Source organism: Homo sapiens, chromosome 2 (assembly GCF_000001405.40).
Source record: "Homo sapiens chromosome 2, GRCh38.p14 Primary Assembly".
NCBI lineage: Eukaryota > Metazoa > Chordata > Mammalia > Primates > Hominidae > Homo > Homo sapiens.
The window spans coordinates 139582462-139608896 of record NC_000002.12 but is presented as its reverse complement, the minus strand read 5'-3'; positions in this window follow the sequence as shown (position 1 = coordinate 139608896).

The following is a 26435-nucleotide window of genomic DNA, read 5'->3' as shown; positions in this document are numbered from 1 at the left end:
AATCAGGAAAACATAACATCCCCAAATGAACAAAATATGGCCCAGGGACTATTCCTCGATAAACAGTTACGTGACCTTTCAGATAGAAAATTCAAAATAGCTGTATTAAAGAAACTCAAAGAAATTCAAAAGAACACAGAGAAGGAATTCAGAATTCTACCCGATAAACTTAACAAAGAGATTGAAATAATTAAAAAGAATCAAGGAGAAATTCTGGAGCTGAAAAATGCAATTGATATACTGAAGAATGCATCAGAGCCTTTTAATAACAGAATTAATCAAGCAGAAGCAAGAACTAGTGAGCTTGAAGACAGGCTATTTGAAAATACACAGGGGAGAAAAAAAGAATTTAAAAAATGAAGCATGTGTACAAGATCTAAAATTAGCATCAAAGGGCAAATATAGGGGTTATTGGCCTTGAAGAGGAAATAGAAGAAGAGCTAGAGGTTGAAAGCTTATTCAAAGGGATAAAAACAGAGAAATTACTAAACCTAGAGAAAGATATCGATATCCAGATACAAGAGTTATAGAACAGCAAGGAGATTTAACCCAAGGAAGATTACCTCAAGATATTTAAAAATCAAACTTGCAAAGGTCAAGGATGAAGAAGGGATTCGAAAAGCAGCAAGGGAAAAGAAACAAATAACATGCAATGCAGCTCCAATACGTCTGGCAGCAGACTTTTCAATGGAAACCTTACAGGCCAGGAGAGAATGGCATAACATATTTAAAGTGCTGAAGGGGAAAAAAAATAACATTTACCCTAGGATAGTTTATCCTGTGAAACTATTCTTTAAGCATGAAGGAGAAATACAAACTTTCCCAGACAAACAAAAGTTAAGGGATTACGTCAACACTAGACCTATCTTGCAAGAAATTCTGAAGGGAGTACTTCAGTCAGGTCAGAAACAAAGAACATTAATGAGCAATAAGTAATCACCTGAATGTACAAAATTCACTGGTAATAGAGAGTACACAGAAAAACACAGAATCTTATAACAGTGTAACTGGGGTATGCAAACTACTGTTATCTTAAGTAGAATGATTAAATAAAATTAATAAATAAAACTTATCAAGACAGTATAATAACATATAAATAAAAACAATGAAATGTTTAAAAGTGGAGGGACAAAGTTAGGGCATAGTTTTCATTAGTTTTCTTTTGTTTATGCAAACAGTGTTAATTTGTCATCAGCTTAAAATAATGAGTTATAAGATAGTATTTGCAAGCCTCATGATGATCTCAAGCCAAGAACATACAATGGATACAGAAAAAATGAAAAGCAAGAAACTAAATTATATCACCAGAGAAAATCACCTTTTCTAAAGTAAGACAGGAAGAAAAGAAGGAAGACCACAAAACAACCAAAATCAAATAACAAAATGGCAAGAGTAGGTCCTTACTTGTCAATAATAACATTGAATGTAAATGTACTAAACTCTCCTATCAAAACATATAGAGTAGCTGAAAGGATTTTTTTTTTAAAGACCCATTGATCTATGACCTACAAGAAACGCACTTCACCTATAAAGATACACATAGACAGAAAATAAAGGGATGAAAAAAGATATAGCACGCCTGTGGAAAGCAAAAAACGAGGAGTAGTAGCTATTCTTATAACAGAGAAAATAGATTTCAAGACAAAAACTCTAAGAGGCAAAGAAGGTCAGTATATAATGATAAATTGGTCAATCCAGCAAGATGATATACAAATTGTAAATATATATGCACCCAACACTGGAAGACGCACATATATACAGCAAATATTCTTAGAGCTAAAGGGAGAGACAGGCCCCTATACAATGGTAGCTAGAGACTTTAACACCCCACTTTAAGCCTTGGACATATCTTCCAGAAAGAAAATCAACAAAGAAAAGTTGGACTTAATCTGTACTATAGACCAAATGGATCTAAAAGATATTTACAGAACATTATATCCAATGGCTGCAGAATACACATTCTTTTCCTCAGGACTTGCATCATTCTCAATGATAGACTATATGTTAAGTCACAAAACAAGTCTGAAACCTTCAAAAAAAAAAGAAAGAATATCCAGCCTCTTCTCTGACTGTGATGGAATAAAACTAGAAATCAATTACAAGAGGAATTTTGAAAACTATACAAATAAATAGAAATTAAATAATATGCTCCTGAATGATCACTGAATCAATGAAGAAATTAAGAAGGATATGAAAAAATGTCTTGAAACAAGTGATAATGGAAATATGGCATACCAAATTCTATGGAATCAGCAAAAACAGTAGTAAGAGGGAAGTGTTTTTTTTATTATTATACTTTAAGTTCTAGGGTACACATGCACAATGTCCAGGTTTGTTACATATGTATACATGTGCCATGTTGGTGTGCTGCACCCATTAACTCATCACTTACATTAGGTATATCTCCTAATGCTATCCCTCCCCCCTCCCTCCACCCCCCATGACAGGTCCCGGTGTGTGATGTTCCCCACCCTGTGTCGAAGTGTTCGTAACAGGGAAGATTTTAGCTATATGTGCCTATGTCAAAAAAGAGAAAAAAGTTCAAGTAAACAATCTAACAATGCATCTTAAAAAACTAGAAATGCAAGAGCAAACCAAACCCAAAATAAGAAAAGAAATAATAAACATCAGAGCACAAATAAATGAAACTGAAATGAAAAAAATACAAAAGATCAATAAAACAAAAAGTTATTTTTTTGAAAAGTTAAGCAAAATGGACAAACCTTTAGGAAGACTATGAAAAAAAGAGAGAAAATCCAAATAAATAAAATCAGAGATAAAAAATAACACATTAAAATTGATACCACAGAAATTCAAAGGATCATTAGTGGCTCCTATGAGCAACTGTGTGCCAATAAATGGAAAAATCTAGAAGAAGTTGATAAATTCCTAGTCACATACAACCTCTCAAGATTGAATCATAAAGAAATCTAAAACCTGAATAGACCAATAACAAGTAATGAAATTAAAGCGATAATGAAAAGTCTCCAAATAAATAAAAGCCCAGGACACAATGACGTCACTGCTGAATTCTACCAAATCTTTAAAGAAGAACTAATATCAATTCTACTGAAACTATTCCAAAAACAAAAGAGTAGGAGGGGATACTTCCAATCTCATTCTACAAAGCCAGTATCACTCTGATGACAAAACCAGACAAAGATACATCAAAAAAAGAAAACTATAGGCCAATATCTCTGATGAATATTGATGCCAAAATCCCCCCAATAAACTGCAAATCAAATTCACAAAATATTAAAAAGATCATCACATTCATCACGATCAAGTAGGATTTATCTCTAGGATGCAAACTATATGATCACTTCAATTGATGCTGAAAAAGCATTTGATAAAATTCAATATCCCTTCATGATAAAAACCTTCAAAACACTGGGGATAGAAGGAACGTACCTCAACATAGTAAAAGCCATATATGATAGACCCACAGCTAGTATCATACAGAATGGGGAAACCTGAAAGCCTTTCCTGTAAGATCTGGAACATGACAAGGATACTAACTTTCACCACTATTATTCAACATATTACTGGAAGTTCTAGTTAGAGCAATCAGACAAAAGAAATATATAAACGGCATACAAATTCAAAAAGAAAAAGTCAAATTATCCTTGTTTGCAGATGATATGACTTTGTATCTGAAAAAATCTAAAAACTACATCAAAGAATGATTAGAACTGATAAATTCAGTAAAGTTGCAGCATACAAAATCAACATACAAAAATTAGTAGCATTTCCACATGCCAACAGTGAAGAATCTGAAAAAAAAATGTAATCCCACTTACAATACCCACACATAGAATTAAATACATAGAAATTAACAAAAGAAGTGAAAGAGCTCTATAATAAAACCTATGAAACATTGATGAGAAAAATGGAAGGGAACATAAAAAAATTGAAAGATATTCCATATTAATGGAATGGAAGAATCGATATTGTTAAAATGTTCATACTCCCCAAAGCAATCAACAGATTCAATGTAATTCCCTATTAAAACACTAATAAAATTCTTCACAGAAATAGTAAAACAGTCCTAAAATTTAAATGAAACCACAAAAGACCCAGAATAGTGAAAGCTATCCTAAGCAAAAAAAAATAAAAAAGTCTGAAGGAATCACGTTACCTGACTTCAAATTGTACTATAGAGCTGTAGTGACAAAAACAGCATGGCACTGGCATCAAAACAGACACACAGACCAATAGACTACAATAAAGAACCTAGGAACAACTCCACACACCTACAGTGAACTCCTTTCTGACAAAGGTGTCAAGAACATACACTTGGGAAAAGACAATCTCTTTAATAATTGGCACTGGGTAAACTCAGTATCCTATGCAAAGAATGAAGCTAGACCCTTTATTTCTCACCATATGAAAAATCAAATCAAAATGAATAAACACTTAAATCTAAGACCTCACTAAGAAATTACTACAGAAAACCATGGGGGCATAAATCTGCAGGACATTGGTGTGGGCAAAAATTTCTTAAGCAATACCTCACAAGCGCAGGCATCTGAAGGAAACATGGACAAATGGAATCACATCAAGTCCTTCCACACAGCCAAGGAAACAATCACCAAAGTGTAGAGACAATCCACAGGCTGGAAGGAAATATTTGCAAACTACCCATCTGATTGGGATTAATAACCAAAATACATAAGTATTTCAAACAACTGTATAGGAAAAAATCTAATAATCTGATTTTTTAAATGGGCAAAAGATTTGAATAGACATTTGTCAAAAGAAGACATAAAAATGGCAAACACGTATATGTAAAGGTACTCAACTTCACTGATAATCAGAGAAATGCAAATCAAAACTACAATGAGATATCATCTCATCCCAGTTAAAATAGTTTATATCTAAGAGACAGGCAATAACAAATGCTGGTGAAGATGTGGAGAAAAGGGAACCCTTGCACACTGTTGGTGGGAATGTAAATTAGTACAAACATTATGGAGAACAGTGTGCATGTTCCTCCAAAAACTAAAGACAGAGCTACCATATGATGTGGCAATTCTACTGCTGGGTATATACCCAAAAGAAAGGAAATCAGTTTATCGATGTGCTATCTGCACGCTTATATTTGTTGTAGCATTGTTCCCAATTGCCAAATTTGGAAACAGCATAAGTGTCCATCAATAGATGAATGGATAAAAAAATGTGGCATCTATACACAATGGAGTATTATTCAGCCATAAAAATATGAGATCCTGTCATTTGAAATAACATGGATGGAACCAGAGATCATTATGTTAAGTGAAATAAACCAGACATAGAAGGACAAGCATGGCATATTCTCATGTATTTGTGGGATCTAAAAATGAAAACAATTGAATTCATGTAGCTATAGAGTAGAAAGATACCAAAGGCTAGGAAAGGTAGTGGAGGAGTGGGGGTGAGTTGGGTATAATTAATGGGTACACAAAACAGAAAGATTAGATAAGACCTAGTATTTGATACCACAACAAGGTGACAATAGTCAATAATAACTTAACTGTATACTTTAAAATAATGGAGTAGAATTGGATTGGTTGTAACACAAAGGATAAATGCTTGGGGGGATGAATACCTCATTCTTCATGATGTGATTATTATGTGTTGCATGCCTATATCAAAACATCTCATGTACCCAAGAAATAACATACCTACTATGTACTCACCAAAATTAAAAATCAAAAAAACTTTAAAAATTAGAGAAGCTACTTAGAAGTAAACAAAGATCAGTGGTTGCCAGGGGTTCAGGAGAGATAAGAAGGCAGATAAACAAGTGAGTTGCAGGATAGTTATAGGGTGGTGCAACTATTCTGTATGATTCTGTACACGTGGTTTCTTGACATTACACATTTTTCAAAACTCATATAACTGTACAACGCAAAGTGTGAGCCCTAAGGTACCTCCTAGTCTTTAGTTAATAACAGTGTATCAATTCTTACTCATTAGTTGTAACAAATGTGCCTTACTAATACAAAATAATACTAGGAGAGACTTTAAGTCAGAAAGAGAGGGAATATATGGGAACTCTGTATGCTACTTGCTCAATTTTCTGTAAAACTACTCTAAAAATAAAGCCTATTAACTTAAATATAAACAAAAAATCACTGGGCTTCACCCATGGGTCCAAATTGTTAGCATATTCTAGTCTCATTTGAACATGACTTCCTCATCATGACATTCGGTTGCCACATTTAACAAGTAAGTTGATGCTACACTCATCAGAAGAGCATCACTTGGTGGAAGACCAATAATTTGAAGTCAGCAGAGCTTGCAAGGACTCTGAAAAAGAAATATAAGATTTTCACTTTTGTGGGGTTCTATGAAATAATTTTCATTTTTAAAAGATTAAAAATCTAGTAAGGAAATAAAATAATTTCAAGCTCACTGTAGCTTGAAGTTAATGCAAAATACTGTTGGCAGGACTGGTTCAAAAATAAACTTGTTTTATACAAACAAAATGAATCACAACATTGTACACATCTGTGCTAAAACTCATAGAGATGCTAGATGAGGATAATGCAGTGTGAGCTATTTTCCTATCTTCATAAGAACATCCCTATCACCTTGATATAAAATTTAAATGAGGAATGTCGTAAAATATCAGCTACACACACACGTGCACGTGCACACACACACACACACACACACACACCCCTAGAGAGACTACTTGCTTTTCAAAGTGACCTCTCCTAGGAAGCATCTCTCCAGAAAATAGCAACAATTTGGTATCAGCCTAGGGTATTGCCTTTTATTGTTCCCTATGTCATGAGATCAATTGTCTGGTTGGAGATCTTGCCACAGTGCTTTATGTGACATTAGTGTCTGACTTTTAGTTATCAGTGATAGCAAATGAGATTCTGTTCATTTCATTCAGAGTGAGTGAGGCTATATTATTAAGCAGAAAGTTGCATATCTTGAGAGAAGAGCCTTCTTAGGTACAGCTTTAGCATTTGGTATCATGTCACACAAATATTGCTATTATGTGTGCAAAAGGGGCAAGAGCTAGAATGAAGCTGATTAATTATTTGAACTTTCCCCTAACTCCTAACTTATAAATTGTGATTTTTCTTATGTCCTAGTTTTTAGAGAGATAGCATTAGTTAAAAGCACCATATAAACTTAGTTTTAAAGTAATATTCGGCTATGGAGTTGACATCTGACCTCTTTAGTCCTTAATCTTCTGTAGTCAGAAAGAGCAATTAAAATTTCCCCAAGGGAATACAATACCAATTTTGAGAATTTTAGAACAGGTAAAGCATACAAGAATAGATACCAGATACCTGGGATGTTTGCGTTATGTCCACTAAAAGGGAAAAGTACTTTTAAAAGTACTTTCTTCTATTTTTTAAAAGTAATAGAAAAAAGTAAATATTAACATATAACATTTTTATGTGCTTCTAGCAGGTACCAGGCACTCTCACATAATTTGCCTCATTTAGATCCTCACAGCATTCCTGTGGATAATATTATCACCATTTCACCATTTTGTTGAGGAACTGAAGCCTAAAGAGGCTAAACAACCAAGAAAAGTTGAAAAAAAAGAGAGAGAGAGAGAGCAAGAGAGCACTAGGTCCTACGTATGAAATCAAATCTTATATGTTTTGAAGAGATCACTCTACCTCTGATTGCTAATGAATTCATGGTCTTCTCTGTTTTATATCTCTTCACGATCTATTCTTCACTCTCTGTTAGCAATTTCCTTTGGATTTTTTTTCTATTTTTTCATTCTTACATTTTGTATTCACCAGGGAATGAATTAAACCAGTTAGCCTTTGATTCCTTCATGCCTGAGAGGGAGGTGGTTTGCAAGGACATGACCCCAGGGGACAAAAAAAAAGGCAGGTGACCAAGTCTAATCACCTTGTCAACTGGACCTTCAGGTAAATTGATTAATGACATTTGCTAGGATGAAGGGACTGATGTTGGAAATGCCTTTAGCAGAATCTCTCTTTTTACCTTTAATAAATAGGACACAGGAACCATGAGGCATGGCTCGCCAGAGAATGTAGTATAAACTGCACAGCTCTGTTTAAATGCTGTACTCTGTCTGAGAAACTCCATGAACCTCACTTAGAGACCTCATCTTTTCTCGTCCAGCACATTTCTGACATACAAGGAAGGACCTGGGGATCTGCCTTTAAAACTCAACATTTCTTTTGGCTTTGCATGAGCCTCTTGGTAGACAATATCCTGTAATATTTTTTGGTAAAACAATACAGATTTCTGATTTGTGTCTGATTTGCCAGTTTGAACCAGTGTGCTAGCTAACTCATTAAATTTACTGCTGATGTATACCTATAGCTGACATCATTATTAGGAACTCTAGAGTAGCAGCACAGATTCTATAATTAAGGATGACTGGTGTGTCTGTGCCCCTGTTTCTGTGTATCTCCTGAGACTAGGCTAGATCTCTGAAAATGTTTTCATGCAGTTCTGGAAGGCAGCAACCACTGGACTGCAGGCCAGTAGCCCCAGAGAGTGGTGGCGTATTGTTATCAACAGATGGTGAAAGAAAATGAACAGTGTGGAGTTAAGCTCCAAGGGAATTCCAGTCAGGAAAGCTAGAGCTATTCAATTATATGGTACCGGGAATTGGATTCTGCCAAGTATGATGTGAGTACACTGCTCACTGCATTGCTCACCTTCAACACCTCATTTCCAAAAGACTGGTCCACATCTACTGCAGAAAGTTTGCAGATTTTTAAGATGCAGAGCACAGGAATGGCTTGAAGAATCACAAATAGCTAGTATGTTATGTAATAGGACTTAGACCAGCTTAAATGTCTTTTTTTTTTTTTAAATAGAAGATTTGCTCATTGTTTGACATTTTCTTAGGCTAGCATTAAAATTAGGTTGACATTTTTGGCCTTTTTATACTGGGCTCCCAATAAGCATAGCAATAGATTATTTAATCCACTATTTATGTCTTTTGAATCCTCTGAGAAACAAATGCCTAGATGGAATTAGGTGTGCAAGATATTTATTGAGGGAGACACTTCTGAAGAATGGAATAAACAGGGAGAGACTTAAGACTGCAGTGACTTCAGACTCCTGTTAAGGGAGAGAGGAAAGAAAGTATCAGGTAGGAAGTGCCTCAGACTGCAGCACAATTCTGAGAAAGCCTCAGTCATGGTGGTGGAAATCAGTAAGCAATATTTTCCTATTAGAAGAATCCCTCTCTAGGCATCAATGGGCCAGCATCATAATCCTGGTGGATTTTCCCAGTCTTTCACTGGGAAAAACCTAGGAGAACTGTGGTCCTTGATTATTTCTATTGTTTGCTTTTCCTCTTAACAATGGATCATAATTCCCTGCCCCCACATGTTTTCTAATTTTTCTTTCTATGTCAGATATGTGAGCAAGAGAACTGGGGATCCTACAGTAATGTTACGTTTCAACAGAAGTGATATTCTTTGTCAGGCAAGCATCATGGACTGAGAGTTTGTTCCTGTGTAAAATTCCTACGTTGAAGTCTAGTATGCAATGTGATGGTATTTGGAGGTGGGGCCTTGGAAGGTAATTAGGTCATGATTGTGCAGCCTTCATAAATGAGATTAGTGCCCTCATAAGAGAGGCCAGAGAGCTAATTTGCTGTCTTTCCACCACATGGGGATACAAGAAGTCTGCCATCTGCAGCCTGGAAGAGCGCCCTCACCAGAACCATGGTGGCACCCTACTCTGGGACTTTCAGCCTCCAGAACTATAAGAAATAAATGTCAATTGTTTATAAGCTACCCAGTCAATGGTACTCTGTTACAGCAGTCTGAGATGACTAAGACAACAAATAAGATGATACACTGGTAACCTCAACCAATCAGGAATTAGGCTTGTTTCGGTTGAGTTGCAGTTTTAGAAAGATTCTTTTCACTTCAGTTTGTCCTTTCCTTTGGGCATTACCCTACTCTTTTTTGTTGTTGTTGAATTTTATTATTTTTGTCTCCTCACTAATAAACATTTCTAGAAGAATCATTTTTGTCCTGTGAAGGTCTTGAGTTTAGCTCCTTAGCCTCCACCCACAAAGCTTCAGAATCTAGCACATGTCTTAAGAGAGAAGGGGGCTTTGTGTATTTGACGTGGGATCCTCTTCTAGTGGGACTTTGATTCCTAAGAACCACAAGACCACAGATTTTACTCTGCCCTGTTTAGGTGTTGCAGACTTAGCCCTCCAGCTTTCTATTCTATGACAGATGTCAACAAATTTCTCCTGGGGAAAGGCAGATGTGTGTTTGAGGCTCCCCTAAATAATGATCTGTCATGTTAGGGTTCACAACCATAACCAACTCCGCTTTCTCTCTTTTCCCCAGCTGAGCCCTTCTGCTTAGGTTATGCCTAATGTTCAGGCCATGCTCAGAATTGACAAATTCTCCCAGTGCAGAAAGTGATTGACCTTTGTCATCTCTCCTAACAAGTTGAACTTTATCTAGTTCTTGTTATTTGCACAATTTTCTGATGTGGAATTACAATTTTGGACATAAACATTATTAGTTATTGTTGAGAATCATGGTCTCGATATTTAGAACAATTTATCAATTTATTCGGTTATGATTTCTAGATTCTGAGACATAATTAGAAAGGCCTATCTTACCTTCTCTAGGAACATAAATAATTTTTCCATAACTTATAGTATTTAAAAATATTTACTATTTTGTCAATTAAATCTTTGGCCTGTTTAGAAGATATCCTTACAATGTGAGGCATAACTCTAAATTAGTTTTCAAAGGGCTAATTCAGTTGTCTTAAGACTACTGGGTAATTATAACTTTTTCCTACCTGATTTGAGATGCCAATTTTATATTATAATAAGACCCATACATATTTTGATTGATCTTTGGAATTTCTATTATTTTACATCAGTTTGTTTGTTTACTAATGAAACTGTATACTGTGTTTTAATTTTCAGATTTTAAAACATATACCAACATCTGAGAGGCGCAGTCCTTTCCTTATTTTTCTTCTATTTCTGGGTTTTCCAGGTTTTTATTATTAGCCTATTTTTTTTCATATGAACCATGGATGAAAAGAATAAAGATAGTATTTTTTGAAGATCTCATTAACATAATATCACTTATAGAAAAATGAGTCCTTTATGATGCAGAATCTTCCTGCCCAAGTATATTCAATTTATTTTCATTTGTTCAAATCTTTTGTGTCTTTCAGTAGAGCTTGAAAATATTCTGTGTATATAACTTTTACTTTTCTTTTTACTGTATTCTTAGGAGTTTGATTTTTATTGTTGTTATTATGGTAAACGGTGATGTTTATTTTATCTTCTAAATGGTTGCTGCTGATATATAGAAAGCTGTTGGTGTCTCTGCCAGTTTAATACTTCAGTAACTAGCTTGTTAAATTTTTAGGGTTTTCTCTTGGATGTCACATGTATAAAATTACAGAATCTATGAAAACTGAAAAGTTTTAGCTTTTTCTTTTAATGTGTTTAAAAATCTCAAATAACATTCTCTTGCCCAAATGCAATTGCAAAGCACCTCCAGTGAAAAGTTATTTTTAACACAAAATAGTGTAATGACCCTATTTTTCCTGTTTCTGACTTAACAAGAAATGCTCTATTGTTTCCTCATTAATCATGCTGGTTTGGCAAGAGAGGTAAATATATTTTATAGTTTTAAAAGAATTCATGTATTCCTATTTCTTGAAAACTTCATTTTTACTTTTTTTTTTTTTTTTTTTTTTTTTGAGACAGAGCCTTACTCTGTTGCCCAGGCTGGAGTGCAGTGGCACAGTCTTGGCTCACTGAAACCTCCGCCTCCTGGATTCAAGAGATTCTCCTGCCTCAGCCTCTGTACACTGGGACTACAGGCGCTCACCACCACAACCAGCTGATTTTTTTATTTTTAGTAGAGATGGGGTTTTGCCATGTTGGCCAGGCTGGTCTCAAACTCCTGATCTCAGGTAATCTGCCTGCCTTGGCCTCCCAAAGTGCTGTGATTACAGGTATGAGCCACTGCACCAGGCCTATTTTTGCTTTTTTATAATTGAGTATTCTAAATGTACAATAAGGTACACAAAACATAAATTTACATAATAACAAATAGATTACCATAAAACAAAAAAACTATATAACTGTTAGCAAAGTCAAAGAAAGGATAATTGGCAGTTTACCAAAGCACTGCTCACACACACTATCAAGTAATATCTCCTCTTTATCCCCAAAGTTGAATATTATTCTCACTTCCATGTGGTTTAGTATTGCTTGCAAGTATTTTTCAGGGTTTAATTTTCTACTCAACATTTAAGTTTGTAGGTTTCATCCATGAATTTGAATTCATTTTTATTGCTATATTACATAGATTGTATAAGTTTACTACAATGTGTGTACATCATGCACTGTTGATGGATATTTGGAATGTTTCCAGTTTGTGGATATTATAAAATATGGCACCACGAATATTCTTACATATATTGGCTTAGTAGACATGTGCATGTTAAGTATACATCTGGGAGTAGAATTGTCGGATGATAAGGAATGCATATATTCGATTTTAGTTGTTACAGTCAAATATATAGCTTCCTAAAGTGGTTATAAAATTTATATTCCCACTAGCAATATATGATAATTCAAACCATTTCACCTCTATGACAAAACTCAGCCTTGTTTATTTAACTACAAATTTTAATGATAGAAACTGCAGGAAAAATAACAAGAATTATTCAATGATGATAGAAAGAACAAATTGTCAAAAATACGTATTTATCCATGTATTCAATACTCAATAGTATAGCCTCAATCATATCAAGTAAAAAAGTCAGAATTAATATAATTATTAAATCAGTTACTATATGGTAATATATTCACATACTTTTCATAAACTAATAGATCATGAAGCCTAAAAGATTAATAGAAATATAGAAAATTTAGATAACATAATTATCAAGCTTGGCCCAATAAACATATTTAAAACTCTGCTACTGAAATATCAACATACACATTTTTCTCAAGCTCATATGGAATACTAATGAGTGAACTTGAAGTATCATATACACGTTTCCAATCTAAACACTCATACAAATAATGAAGTAAAACAATTTTTAAGTGTAAACTTTATTTTATGATCAAGCTATAAAATGTACAGCAGAAGAGTAAAATGTTAGCAGCAAATATTTTCCAGTCCCTAACTCCGATTCTTCATTGCCATTCTTTGGTAGTATCAAATTATATTAGCTCATGCTTGCACTGCTATAAAGAAATAACTGAGACTGGGTAATTTATAAAGAAAATAGGCTTAATTTGCTCCTGGTTCCTCAAGGTGTACAAGAAACATAATGCTGGCATCTGCTTGGTTCCTGGGTAGCCCTCAGGAGACTTTCAATCATGACAGAAGGCAAAGGGGAAGCAGGCTCATTGTAAGTGACAAGAGGAAGAGGAAGAGGGTGAGGGGAGGTGCTACACACTTTTAAGCAACCAAATCTCATGATAACTGACTATTGCAACCAAGAGTACAGAGCTAAACCATTTATGAGAAACCTCTTCCATGATCCAATCACCTCCCACCAGGCCCCACCTCCAATTTTGGGGATTGCAATTGAACATGACATTTTGGTGAGGACACAGATCCAAACCATATCATTCTATCCTTGAACCCTCTTAAATTTCATGTCCTTCTCACTTTGCAAAATAAAATCATGCCTTCCCAATAACCCCTAAAGTTTTAACTCATTCAGCATTAACTCAAAAGTTAAAAGTCAAAAGTCTCATCGAGACAAGGCGAGTTTCTTCCACTCATGAGCCTGTAAAATTGAACACAAGTTAGTTACTTTCAAGATACAGTGGGAGTATAGGCACTGAGTAAGTACCCCAATTCTAAAAGGGAGAAATCAGCCAAAAGAAAGGGGTTACAGGTCCCATGCAGGTCTGAAGCCTAGCAGACAGTTTTTAAATCTTAAAGCTCTAAAATAATCTTTGTCTCCATGTCTCACATCTAGGGAATACTCATGAAAAGTGTAAGCTTCCAAGGCCTTGGGCAGCTCTGTCCCTGTGACTTTGAAGGGTTCAGCCCCCACAGCTGCTCTCACAGGCTGGTGTTGAGTGCCTGTTGCTTTTTTAGGCACAGGGAGCAAGCTGCTGGTGGATTTACCATTCTGGGTCTGGGGGGTGGAAGCTCTCTTCTTACAGCTCTAATAGGCAGTACCCCAGTGATGACTTTGTGTGAGGGCTCCAGACCCACATTCCTCTCTGCACTGCCCTAGTAGAGGTTCTTCATGAGTGTTCCACCACTGCAGCAGGCTTCTGCCTGGACATACAGGCTTTTTCGTGCATCCTCTGAAATCTAGGCAGAGGCTCCCAAGCCTCAATTCTTGCACTGTGCACACTCACAGGCTTAACACTGTATGGAAACCACTAAGGTTTATTTTTTGCACCTTCTGAAGCAGCAATTCAAGCTCTACCTGTGCTTCCTTGGGCCACAGTTGAAGCTGGAGTGCCTGAGGGAGAAGTTTCCTGAGGCTGCACAGCACGGTGGGGCCCTGGGCCTTTCCCATGAAACCATTTTTCCCTCCTAGGCCTCTGGGTCTGTGATGGGAGGGGCTGCCATGAAGATTTCTGAAATGCCTTCAGGGCTTTTTTCCTTATTGTCTTGAATATTAGTATTAGCATTCTTTTTAGTTATGCAAATTTCTGCAGCCTACTTGAATTCCTCCCCTGAAAATAGGCTTTTCTTTTCTACCATATGGACAGGCTGCAAATTTTCCAAACTTTTATGCTCTCTTTTAAATATAAATTCCTGCTTTCCTTTTAAATATAAATTCCAATTTCATGTCATTTTTTTGCTCATGCATATGAGCATAGGTTGCTAGAAGAAGCCAGGATACATCTTGAAACCCTTTGCTGCTTAGAAATTTCTTCTGCCAGTTACCCTACATCATCAGTCTCAGTTTAAAAAGTTCCACAGATCCTTAGAGCAGGGGTACAATGCACCCAATGTCTTTGCTAAGGCATAATAAAAATGACCTTTGCTTCAGTTCCCAATAAGTTCCTCATCTCCATCTGAGACCTTCTCAACCTGGACTTCATTGTCCATATCATGATCACTACTTTGGTCACTACAGTTTAAAAAGTCTCCAGGAAGTTTCAAACTTTGCCTCATCTTCCTGTCTTCTTCTGACACCTCCACACTCTTCCAACCTCTGCCTGTTACCCAGTTCCAAAATCACTTCCACATTTTCAGGTATCTTTATAGTAATGCCTCACCATCAGTACCAGTTTTCTGTATGAATTCATTCTGTCACTGCTATAAAAAACACCTGAGACTGGATAATAAAGAAAAGAGGTTTAGTTGGCTCATAGTTCTTCAGGCTGTAGAGGAAGCATGATGCTGGCATGCATCTCCTTGGCTTCTGGGGAGTCCTCAGGAAAGTTTTGATCATGGCAGAAGGTGTAGGGGAAGCAGGTATGTCTTACATGGCCAGAGCAGGAGGAAGAGATAGTGGACAGGGAAGTGCTGCACACTTTTAAACAACCAGATCATGATAGCTCACTCACTATCACAATCAAGGGGATGGTGCTTAATCACTCATGAGAAACCACCCCCATGATCCAACCACCTTCCACCAGGCCCCACCTCCAATATTGGGGATTACAATTGAGCATGAGATTTTGGTGAGGACACAGATCCAAACATATCCCTAATATTAATATCTTCTATCATATTATTTCAGCAATTTCTGCATAGAAATACATAATTGTGTATGTATCAAAATACTATACATTCTGTTTTTATTGTCTTTCCCATGATTTTTTATGTAAATTTATTATATTTTACAAATGGTTAATCAACTGTAGTTTTTCACCTAATTCTGGTATGTATATCTTTACATATATATGTGTGTGTGTGTATATATATATACACACACACACATATGTATATAAAATTGCTGTGTGTTCATGTTTTTGTGTATCTTGACATGTCAAGATACACTAGATCATAGGTGAAAAAAGTTGCAGAATATATTTATAATATATTTATATATTATATACATATATGTATATATACACATTATATATATTTATATATGATGTATATAAACACATATACATACATATATGCATTATTCTTTTTATATCTGCATAGATTTTTATTACATAGTTGTGCCATGGCTTAGCTAGATGCTATTGTGGACTATTTTTATATTGTTTTTCTAGTAGAAATCGGCTCTAACAAACAACCATTAACACTTTCTGCATCTTTAGAATACATTTCGTGGACTTTCTACAGTCTCATAATTCAAATATTTACTATGGAGTCTTTGGGGAGCATTTAAATCAAGCTATTTAGAGAGCAGTAACCCCAGTTTGTCACTTAAAATATCTCTCAAAGTTAAAAACAAAAAGATTCAGGCAGAAAATCAAGGTGATTCTCTTCACAGGCTAATTTTGGAGTAGCTTACATAATCTACTTATCTGTGAATATATGTAAAGTAGTACCTGTGTGAGTCAAGTAAGAGGACAAAACCACAATGTGCCTCATTTTACTTGACAACTTTCTTATTAATTGTACTATTTGTTTAAAGAACCAACATAGAAACTTAATTCAAGTTCTGGGTGTTAGATTGCACAAAGATGTAATTTACCGTAGTACCTCCTTATCTGTGGGGGACATATTCCAAGACCCCCCAGTGGATGCCTAAAACCACAGATAGTACCAAACCTTATATATACTGTTTCTTTGTTCTTACAACTTAGACGAGGTACTAAGTGACTAACAGGCTGGTAGTGTATACAGCGTGGACACACTAGACAAAGGGATAACTCAAATCCCAGATGGATCAGAGCAGGGATGGTGTGACATTTCATCCTGCTATTCAGCATGTTGCCCAATTTAAAATTTAGGAATGGTTTATTTCTGGAAATATTTATTTAATATTTTCACACCCTAGTTGATCATGGGCAACTGAAACTACAGAAAGTGAAACCTCTGATAACGGGGGACCACTGTATTATAGGTGCAAATTGACTGCTAGAGTCTCAGGTTGCTGGGATACTCATAATCTTTTAAAAGCCTAATGTGGATAAGAATAACCACTATAAGAAAACACAAGGTGCTGGGGGCATGTTTTACTAATAATCTTACCTCCTAAATATTTCTTCAATCTATTGCTTTATCTCTTGCCCCAAATTTCCTATTTAAACTTGTTAAGATTATCTTTTACAAAATTGGAGTAATAGTCTAGCATTACTTTTCTTAACTTTTTTTCATTATCCTTTCCAAGAGGAAGACTAATATATTTTAATTTAAAATCATTATTTGTTCATTAAAACATTTAATTAAATATATTCTCCCTAACAAAATTAAATTTATTTTCCCTAACGAGAGAAATTAAATACCAGGCAATACAATTGTTTTGGGTAGGATTGAGCTTTGGAGATTCACAAACCATTTTAATAGCTAAGATTCCTCTTCCCCTAGCCAATTTTTACCCCTTTGAGGGTTCTATTGCCCTCATTGAAAACGCTTACTCTGTCCCTCTTGTGGTCTACCTGTTTCCAATTCTTGCCTCTTCCAACCATTCCCTATATTGCTGCTAGGATTGTCTTTCTAATATGCACATCTGATGACATTAATTACCAGCTTAAAATTTTCATTGAGTTTTTGACACAACTTGATAAAACACAAACTCCTTACAAGATCTTTAAAATTGAATCCGGCGTCACTTTCCACTTGAGTGGAATGTCAGTCTGGGACTATAGCCCTACTGAACTAACACTGCTTCCCTGAATCCACCATGCCTGTATTGGCCTCCAGAATTTTGCGTGTACTTTTCTCTGCTTGGAATGAGTTCTCGAAAACTCCTACACATCATTTAAGTGTCACCTCAGCATCAAATCTTCTCTGAATTTTCCTCAAAAACGTGTTCACTTCCTTTGTTTTGCTCTAAGACCTCCATTATCATATTGTGTTATTTCTCTACTATTTTACTGTATTATACCTCAGTATTATAATATAAACTCTGCTAATAATTACTTATCCCCTCCCCTTTATTTTATGAGTCCTCACAACATACAGATTTTCTGTTGTTAACCTTTGTACCTGTATCGTCTAGGACAATGCCTCGCTAAATATTCACAAGACATATAAGAAATTGGAAAGAATAACTGAAAACATTTATAGTTCTGTCGGTAATATTTTGTTTCCCAATATTGTGCTCTTTCCTCAACCAGTATTGCTTAACTAATCCTAACAAAATAAATCAGATTTCTAAAAAATGCTTCTAGAACTCCATTCTTCAATCATATTAGAAACCCTAAAGACTTCAGCAATATCCTCTTCTATTTTTGAAGCAATCCTGTTATTTCCTTCTTTCAAATACTAATTGCTTCCCACATCCTATAAATCAGAATTGTTTTTTCTCACTTTATTATGAGTTACTCACTATTCTGTTCCAGAAGGGAATACATTATCTTGTAAAACCGTCCTATGAGCTTTTGCTCACTTTGTTCTGTTGGCACACTTTCTGCTTCACTTAACCTATTCTATATCGTCAATACCACCTGATGTACAAATCTTACATTTTCCATTCAGTAATAATCTTAGATTTCTCCTCTTAGATCCTTCTTTTTCACAAAGTTTCTTTACAAATTAACCACTCATTTTCTCAATGCATATAAACAATTCTATGAGTAATGTGTATATTTTATTAATTTAAATAACTAAAATATTATTTTGATTGTTTCACGGAATGCCATTGTAACTTGGCAAAATTTATCAAGAGCCCAACATGCAACCTTAGAACAACATTTCAGATCAAGAAACAAATGGGTTAGATTGACAGAGATTTATAACTTGGATGTTCAGTACAGTGTTCACTATAATAGTAAAGGTTTTACAGGTAGCTCAAATATCCAAAATAGGGGCTGTTAAGCATCATGGCATGTATGTACACATGCTTGTGTGTATCATCTAGCCATTAACAACCAGGCTTGGAAAACAGTCCCTGACGATTCAACTTACAATTTTTTGACTTTACAATGGGTTTGTTGTTGGGGTATTAATGAATTTTTGACTTACAATTTGTTTATCAGGTCATAATTACACTGTAAGTAGAGGAGAATATGCATTATATATCAGACAAATACAGTATGACCCAAATTTTCACATAATTGATATGCTCCTAGGAATAATAACAGAAATAAACAAACCAAAACATTTGTTTTTTTCTTGAAATATTTACTTATAGGTTTTATTTTTTCCTGTTTTTCTTTATTTTCCAAGTATTTTGCAATAAGCATGTACTACTATTATCACCAGAATTAAATGTAGTCACAACATAAAGTGATATGAAAAAAATATATAGTTAGTAAAAAACACACAAACCGCACATAATCTTTTGGGCCTTCACAGATTCACCACACTTGGTTATTATTCATATTCCCTACAGTATATTTATATAGACCTGTATTCAACACGGCTATTTTCTGTAAGCACAGTTGGTTAGTAACCGTGTTATAAAATTTAATGAACATTTACTAAAAACCTGAAAAGTTTAGTTATTTGTCTTAACTCCCTGTGTCCATGTGTGAGCAAAGACTTGGATGAAATATAAAAATTTCAGTGAAGCATAAGCCCACATATGGATACAGACTTTTTTGTGTTTGTTTGCTTTCTGGAATTATCCAGAAATTGCTTCATCTGTCACTTTCACTGTAACTTCTAGGGGAGTATAATGCCAACAATAAAAGCATTTCTATAGTGAATTAATTTTATATTAAAAATCCAAATTAGTTGGCTTTCATCAAAAAGACCAAACACTTCTTAATTTTCTTATTCTTTTCTTTCTTACTCTTCCAATGTTGCTCAGTTATTTTATGACAGCTTTTGTCAAATTGGTTTTATTTTAGAGGATTCCAACCTTTTAGAGACAATCAATCAATCAATTTGAGAATTGTCTACATTTCAAAAAAAAAAAAAAACATAAGCAGCAAAAGAAAGCCCAGATTGGTGTCTAAAACATCTTTTTCAAAGTTGAAGCCCCAGACTTTGATTGAAATTTAATAAATCTGTTCTTGTGATTTAAGAATTCTTTTACTTTAAAAAAGGATAAGTGCCTATACAGGGCTTGCAGGCAAGGTATATCCTGAGTAACTAAAACTCTCATCCCTAGGTGTACCATTACTCAGTTCTAGCTGAGAGTTAATAGAGATTAATGAATTATTGAATGCTAGTATTTACTAAAAGAAAACAAATTCCATGATGTACAATTATAAAAACCATTAATGCATTTTTGCATACTTACTATGAAGCAGGATAAAATACTTCTTGTCATTAAACATGCATTCATTTATATTTGTGTGCTCTTGTTAATTTAAAGTAGGTTAACTTCTGCCAGCATTCTGTGTTCCAGCTATAAATTTCATTGTTAGGATTTTATTGTTGTTTGCTGTAAAATTCCGTAAGATACAGAACTACTAAGCTGGGATTTGTTCTCCTTGAAGCAGTAGAATCCAGATGGCATATAGAGGAATTTGATGTTCAATTCTTAAGGAGAAATAGATACTTCCTCTTTACCAGTGATTTGGTACTCACTGAATTTTCTTGCAATTAGATTGGAGCCAAATTATTACTCCTGGCCAATGAACTGTGTGAGCACAATTAATGATTTTCTTGACAGGTGTACATTTCCATTTCTTCCCTGCTGCCATAACCTTGGAGGCTATATGCTTCAGATGGCAAAGCTAAAAGATAGAGGAAGACTGGCTAACCTATATCAGATGTTAGGAATTTGTTTGACACCACAGCACACCAAAACTCACCCAATACACCCATGTTTTAGAATTAATCATGATCCCAGCTCTTTCTTACGTTAAATGATATATATGAAGGTGAAGACACAGCCGTTAAATTTAATATAGCAATTTAATGGCAAGAACCTGTCAAAATATACTTCACTAGAAAAATCACGTTTTAAGGCAAGATAGATTCATTTCAAAATCTCACGCAAGCACAAAGCCCAGCAAACATTATATACCATTTTCTCCATTTTTAATACTCTAAGTCATTAAGAGTCCTGAATATTGGAAATATAAGAAAGAAATCAAGTACATGGCTTTGGGTACAAATGTAAATACTAGACAAAACCATTAGTGTCTCACTAATCTGAAGTGTAACTAAAATAGAATATAAGTAAAGAGGACAGCTATAACCCATCTTTGCAAGGATGACTGTTTCCTTTTCACACATGAAGCCCTTAAGGATCACAGTTAAGGAATCGGGCAAAGATCACACAGTCCCAAATACACAGTATGTACTAAATGTTAAGTTAATTATACTCACTGCCAATAAGAATCCAGTTGAATCAGAGCACACCAAGCTCCCTTGAACTATCAAGTAAAACCTCTGGCAAAGTGATGATATAAAACTCAGAGAGAGAACAGATGTGCTGCAGGAGAACATGCTGTTTGTATAGGCACTAAAGTTTCTCTTAAAATAAATACAGTCATTTAAAGTCGTTGAGTCGTGGCTGGAGAAGCACCACAGGGAGGTGATAGAGCAATTAAGAGTCCTGTGGGAAAGGAAAGAACTGAAACAGATTCTCTATGGAGCAAATCTTAAATATACAAATTAAATTGCGTGTAAATAGTAGGTTGAAACATGTCTGAAATTGGTTCCATATTAACATAGGATTCTATATAATACACTAGGCCTGCTTTTTGATCAAGCCTGATCTAAAGAGAATAAGGAAAATAATAGTCACATTTCAACCCTGGTTCAATCCCATCACTCTCTCAATTTAGTACAAGTGGTTGGTTGATTTCTCACTCTGCATGTCTGATTTCATCACTCTGTGGGCAAGCAAATTTTTTAGTGAAAAAATACAGCATAGTTTGGATTTCAATTCTAGCTCTTTTTGTTAGTTGGGCATCTTTGGTTAAGCCCCTTAATTAGTTGAAGGCTATTTTCTTATTTTTTCAAGCAGAAATAATGCCTACTCACAGGGTTTATGTGAGAATTAAGGATAGTCAGGTTTTTAGACTCACAGCCACACATTAGGAGCTCAATATTGTTTTTCTTTCTTGTCTTATAAAAGAAGGGAAATTACATGGTCAAGTTAAAAGGGGCCTGGAGTTAAGCCCTGAAGTAACTTTAAACATTTAATATATTGGTTCTAAAAATTTATGTATTAGGTTGGTAGAGTTCCTAGTGAGGAATGCTTTGGGGATTACAGTCCTTTTAAGATATATCATATTTTACTGAAAATTCAAAACTAACATTAACCATGCTGTTTTTAAAAACTATTGCAATATTTACTTTTTAAAAGGACATACAATCATTTCAGGATAAATTCAATGCACTGTTCTGCTCACTCTTCACTTGGATGTATAACACATATCTTAAATTTGAAATGTCCAAATCGAACATTTTTTTCTGCTCCAATATGTACCTGTTTTCCCCTCAATCTTTGGAAGTGTCAATTCCATCCTACTAGTTTCTAAGAGCAAAACTTACTTTTCTCATTATCTTAAAATCCAAAATCAAATCAAAGTTTATTCTTTCAATTATCTTCAAAATGCACCAACTCTTTCGCTCCTATAAAAGTACAAGTCTTTGCTAAATCTCATGTGGTTTATAGCAATTTTCCCTTAAGTGGTTTTGTTTCTGCTTAGCCTCCCTGTATAGTTTATTCTCAAAGGAGAAATTTGAGTGGTGTTTTAAAAACATGAATTAGAGTACATCAGACCACTGCTCAAAAGCTTTGTAGCATCCCATCTCATTTAGAATGAAAGCTGTTGTCATTATAATGGCTTAGGAGACTCTTAATGATCCGGTCCTCATTAACTCTAGATTTTTACCAACCATTTCTTTCCTGACTCATTCCAGATAGTCTCACTTACTTGACGGACCTCCAAAAGAATATGCTCTTTATCTGTTCATCAGTTGAGTATAGACTGCTCTTCCTCACATTTTCACTCTCACTTTCTCTACTCAAATACTGTCCTCTCTTTATCTGTTTATCAGTCGAGTATAGACTGCTCTTCCTCACATTTTTACTCTCACTTTCTCTACTCAAATACTGTCCTCACAGTGAAATCTTCCTGACTGCCTTTTGTAAAATGCCAATAAAACAACCTCATCCCAGGTTTTCCTATCTTCCAGACCCTGTTTTGTGTTTCTCCATGGCACTTAGCACCATGCGGACCACTTAATACTTACTTATTTTTACTGTCTGATTCCCTTACTGACATATTCATTCCCATCTATTTTGTTTATTACTATTTCCTTAGTGTCTAGAATCGTGCTGGGTCTATATATTCTCAAAAAATATTAATCAAAAGAAGGAAGGAAGAAAGAGAAAGAGAAAGGATTTTATTTCCTTTTCTGTGCCTTTAGATTTCTAAAGACAAATATGCTTTGGAGATTATGATCCACATCTAGCATAGTTCCTCCAAGATATCTGTTGGATATCTTGCAGAGAAAGAAAGTATAATTGGTTCACTTTTCTAATAAAGCCTCAAGACTTTTATTTCCCTGTAACATTTAGATCAACTTGAGCCTTGATGGAATAACGTAGCCTTAGTAGTTTGCCAAGTTGTTTTGCTGACTCTGCAAGGCACAGCCCATCACATGAAGAGGGCATTGAAGGTTATAAGTCTGGATTACCTCATTGGGCAATAAATTACTGCCAAGTACATTGTGAATTTTGTGTCCTTAGAAACATGAAGACCAGTAGTTAACTCTCCATCCTTTGGTAATTTTTTAGAGCCTTAGGGGACTCATTTATCTTGTTAATAGTAATCAATATTAATAATAAATTAGTGGATACACAAATATAAATGTGATGTGAGAACAATAATATTGGAAAAACAGGCGTTGGATGGTAAATAGCCTATTATTCCTCCATGTGCTAAAAGAACTATTATTTGTTGAGTGTCTACTATATAAAAGGCAATTTAAAAATCTTACCTTAGTTCTACAACAGCCCTGTGAGATAACTATTGATATTCCTAGTGAATAGATAAACAGACTGAATAAAGTTAAGGGTTTTATTCATGATTGTACATAGCATACACTTCAAGGCTGAGAATTAATCCAGCATCTACCTAAGTTCACAGTCTGTGAATTCTTTTGAACATGCTATGTTATATTACAAGTCTTGACTGTAGCATCCCTTTAAATCCAGTGGAATAATTGGTCTGCCTCTGCAGAGGACACTCTGAAAGTACATTTGGAAAATATATTGTTATATTTCTACAAATGAAAAATTGTTACACTAGTATAAAACAACCCAACTTTAGGTTGTCCTTAGTAAATTAAGTTCAAAAGAAATTAATCTGCTATCAAAGTGGTATCCCAGCCATCACTTTCATCACTTACAAAATGTCAGATTATGTAAATAAGCCAGGGATTACCTCTATTATTTTATAAAATGAGGTTCTGTAGAGTTCATGCTGAATCAGAAAATGAACTCTATGTAACACTCATTAATTTTAAGGATTATTGCAGTCATTAGCTTCTGTCAATTCACAATTGCTTTAAGTGAGTCTAAGATATTTGAGTTTTTCAGGTTGTGCTACATCTACATTTATTTTAAAAATGTAATACTTTGTCATTTTACTTGGCAGTTGTTTGGCTCTCTCCATACACAGCATTTGGGAGCACTGGGGGTGGTGGTGAGTGGGGGTGTGCGGGCAGTGAGGCGGGTAGTAAGCTTTTTTTTTTTTAATTAGAAAAGCCAGTTATTTCCTGATCATTTCAGTGTGAAATATTGTTCCTTGTGGGTACTTAATACACCTTTTTAATTAACATGGTTAGCAGCTCTTAATTTTAAATTAGTTCTTCATGATATAATTTATCTAAGATATATCTTTTGTGTAGTGGTTGTATCTTGGATAATATAGCTTATGTCTTGGATAATGTAAAAACTATATCAAGCATTTTATGCATATGTTTATCCTTACTACATGCTATCTGTCAGGTAAATATGTATATCCTTATTTTACTAAGGAAAATGCACGAAGCTCTTATAGATTGTGACCTGCTCAAAGAAAACTGGCAGAGCTGGTATCCAAATCCAGGTCTGACTGCTCCGTAGTTTGCATTCATTGTCCTTCACTCAATCTCTCTGTGACTTTGGTTTATATTTTATCCACAAAAATAATACTTGTTTCATTTAATACACAAGACTGTAGTGAGGCTAAAGTTTAATAAAAAGTACCTCTTTTTTTCTGAACAAATGAAGGATGCTCTCAGTAATGAGGAAACTACCATCAGATTACAAGAGAAATCGCCAAATTTACTAGGCTGCTCAAATAAACCTCCATGATCTAGAGAGAAAAGGGTCTGCTTCTGTGCAACAACTTTCATCTCCCTGAAAGCTGTACAATTGTACTGAACCAGAGCATTAACTGAGTATTCCAGTGGGAGGCCACATTTGGCAAATGAAACTGCTAGTTAAAAGCCTTGCTTTGGGAGAACAAACTCTCATTACACATAATAATGCCTTGAGAGCAGGTCTCTGTTCCCATAACTTAGTAAATCCTACCTTTTCTCAAATTACCATTTTTATGGATTTTACATACATGGCAGAAGGCTTCAGGTGATGGTATTCAGTCTGATCCACATGGTTCAGAATGGTAATTGCATGTAGGTAATGCATATCCATTACGAGCATATTGCTACTTCATTTGCCCAGTAAAGCAGGAGAGCCAAACTCAGGCAGTGTCACATATTGGAAGCTACAGAAAAAATTTCTTAGAATAGTAGAGTTTTTGAGAGAAAATGACTTGACTAAGGCAGATTCAGACTTCTAACCTGTGCTAGTATATAATTTGGTGCCAAATATGAGAAAGTTCTATACATTATTTATTGTGCTTTTCTAGAGCCAAGACTAGGTAAAGGCATGGGAAGAAAAGTAAAAGTGCAGAAGATAAGAAGTGTCTGCAAGAGAGAACCAAGCAAAACTACATTTTGAATCAATGTCCATGAAGTACGATTTATGTCGATATACCTCATTCATTTAAAGGACACAAGTTAATGACTTCTGAAAGATGTCTACTCATGGAGTGATCAGGATACATAATCTTTTATATTATTCTCAAAGTTTCCTCATACCCCTCTATCGTTCATCCCTCCTTCTGCTCCCAGACAGGAAACCACCAATTTTCCTTTTGTCACTATAGATTATTTCTAGTTGTTACAATTTTATATAGATGGAATCATACAGTACCTACTCGCCTGTGTCTGGCCTCTTTCACTTAGCATATTAATTTTGAAATTTATTCACATTTTGTGGTATCAGCAGTAGTTCATACCTTTTTATTGTTGAGTAGAATTTAATAATATACAATTACATTTATTATTTTTTGATTCAACTCTTAATAGATATTCGTCATTTGATGAGTTGTTTCCAGTTCTTAGCTATCATGAACAAAGCTGCAAAGAACATTTGTATACATGTCTTTGTGTGAATATATGTTTTAA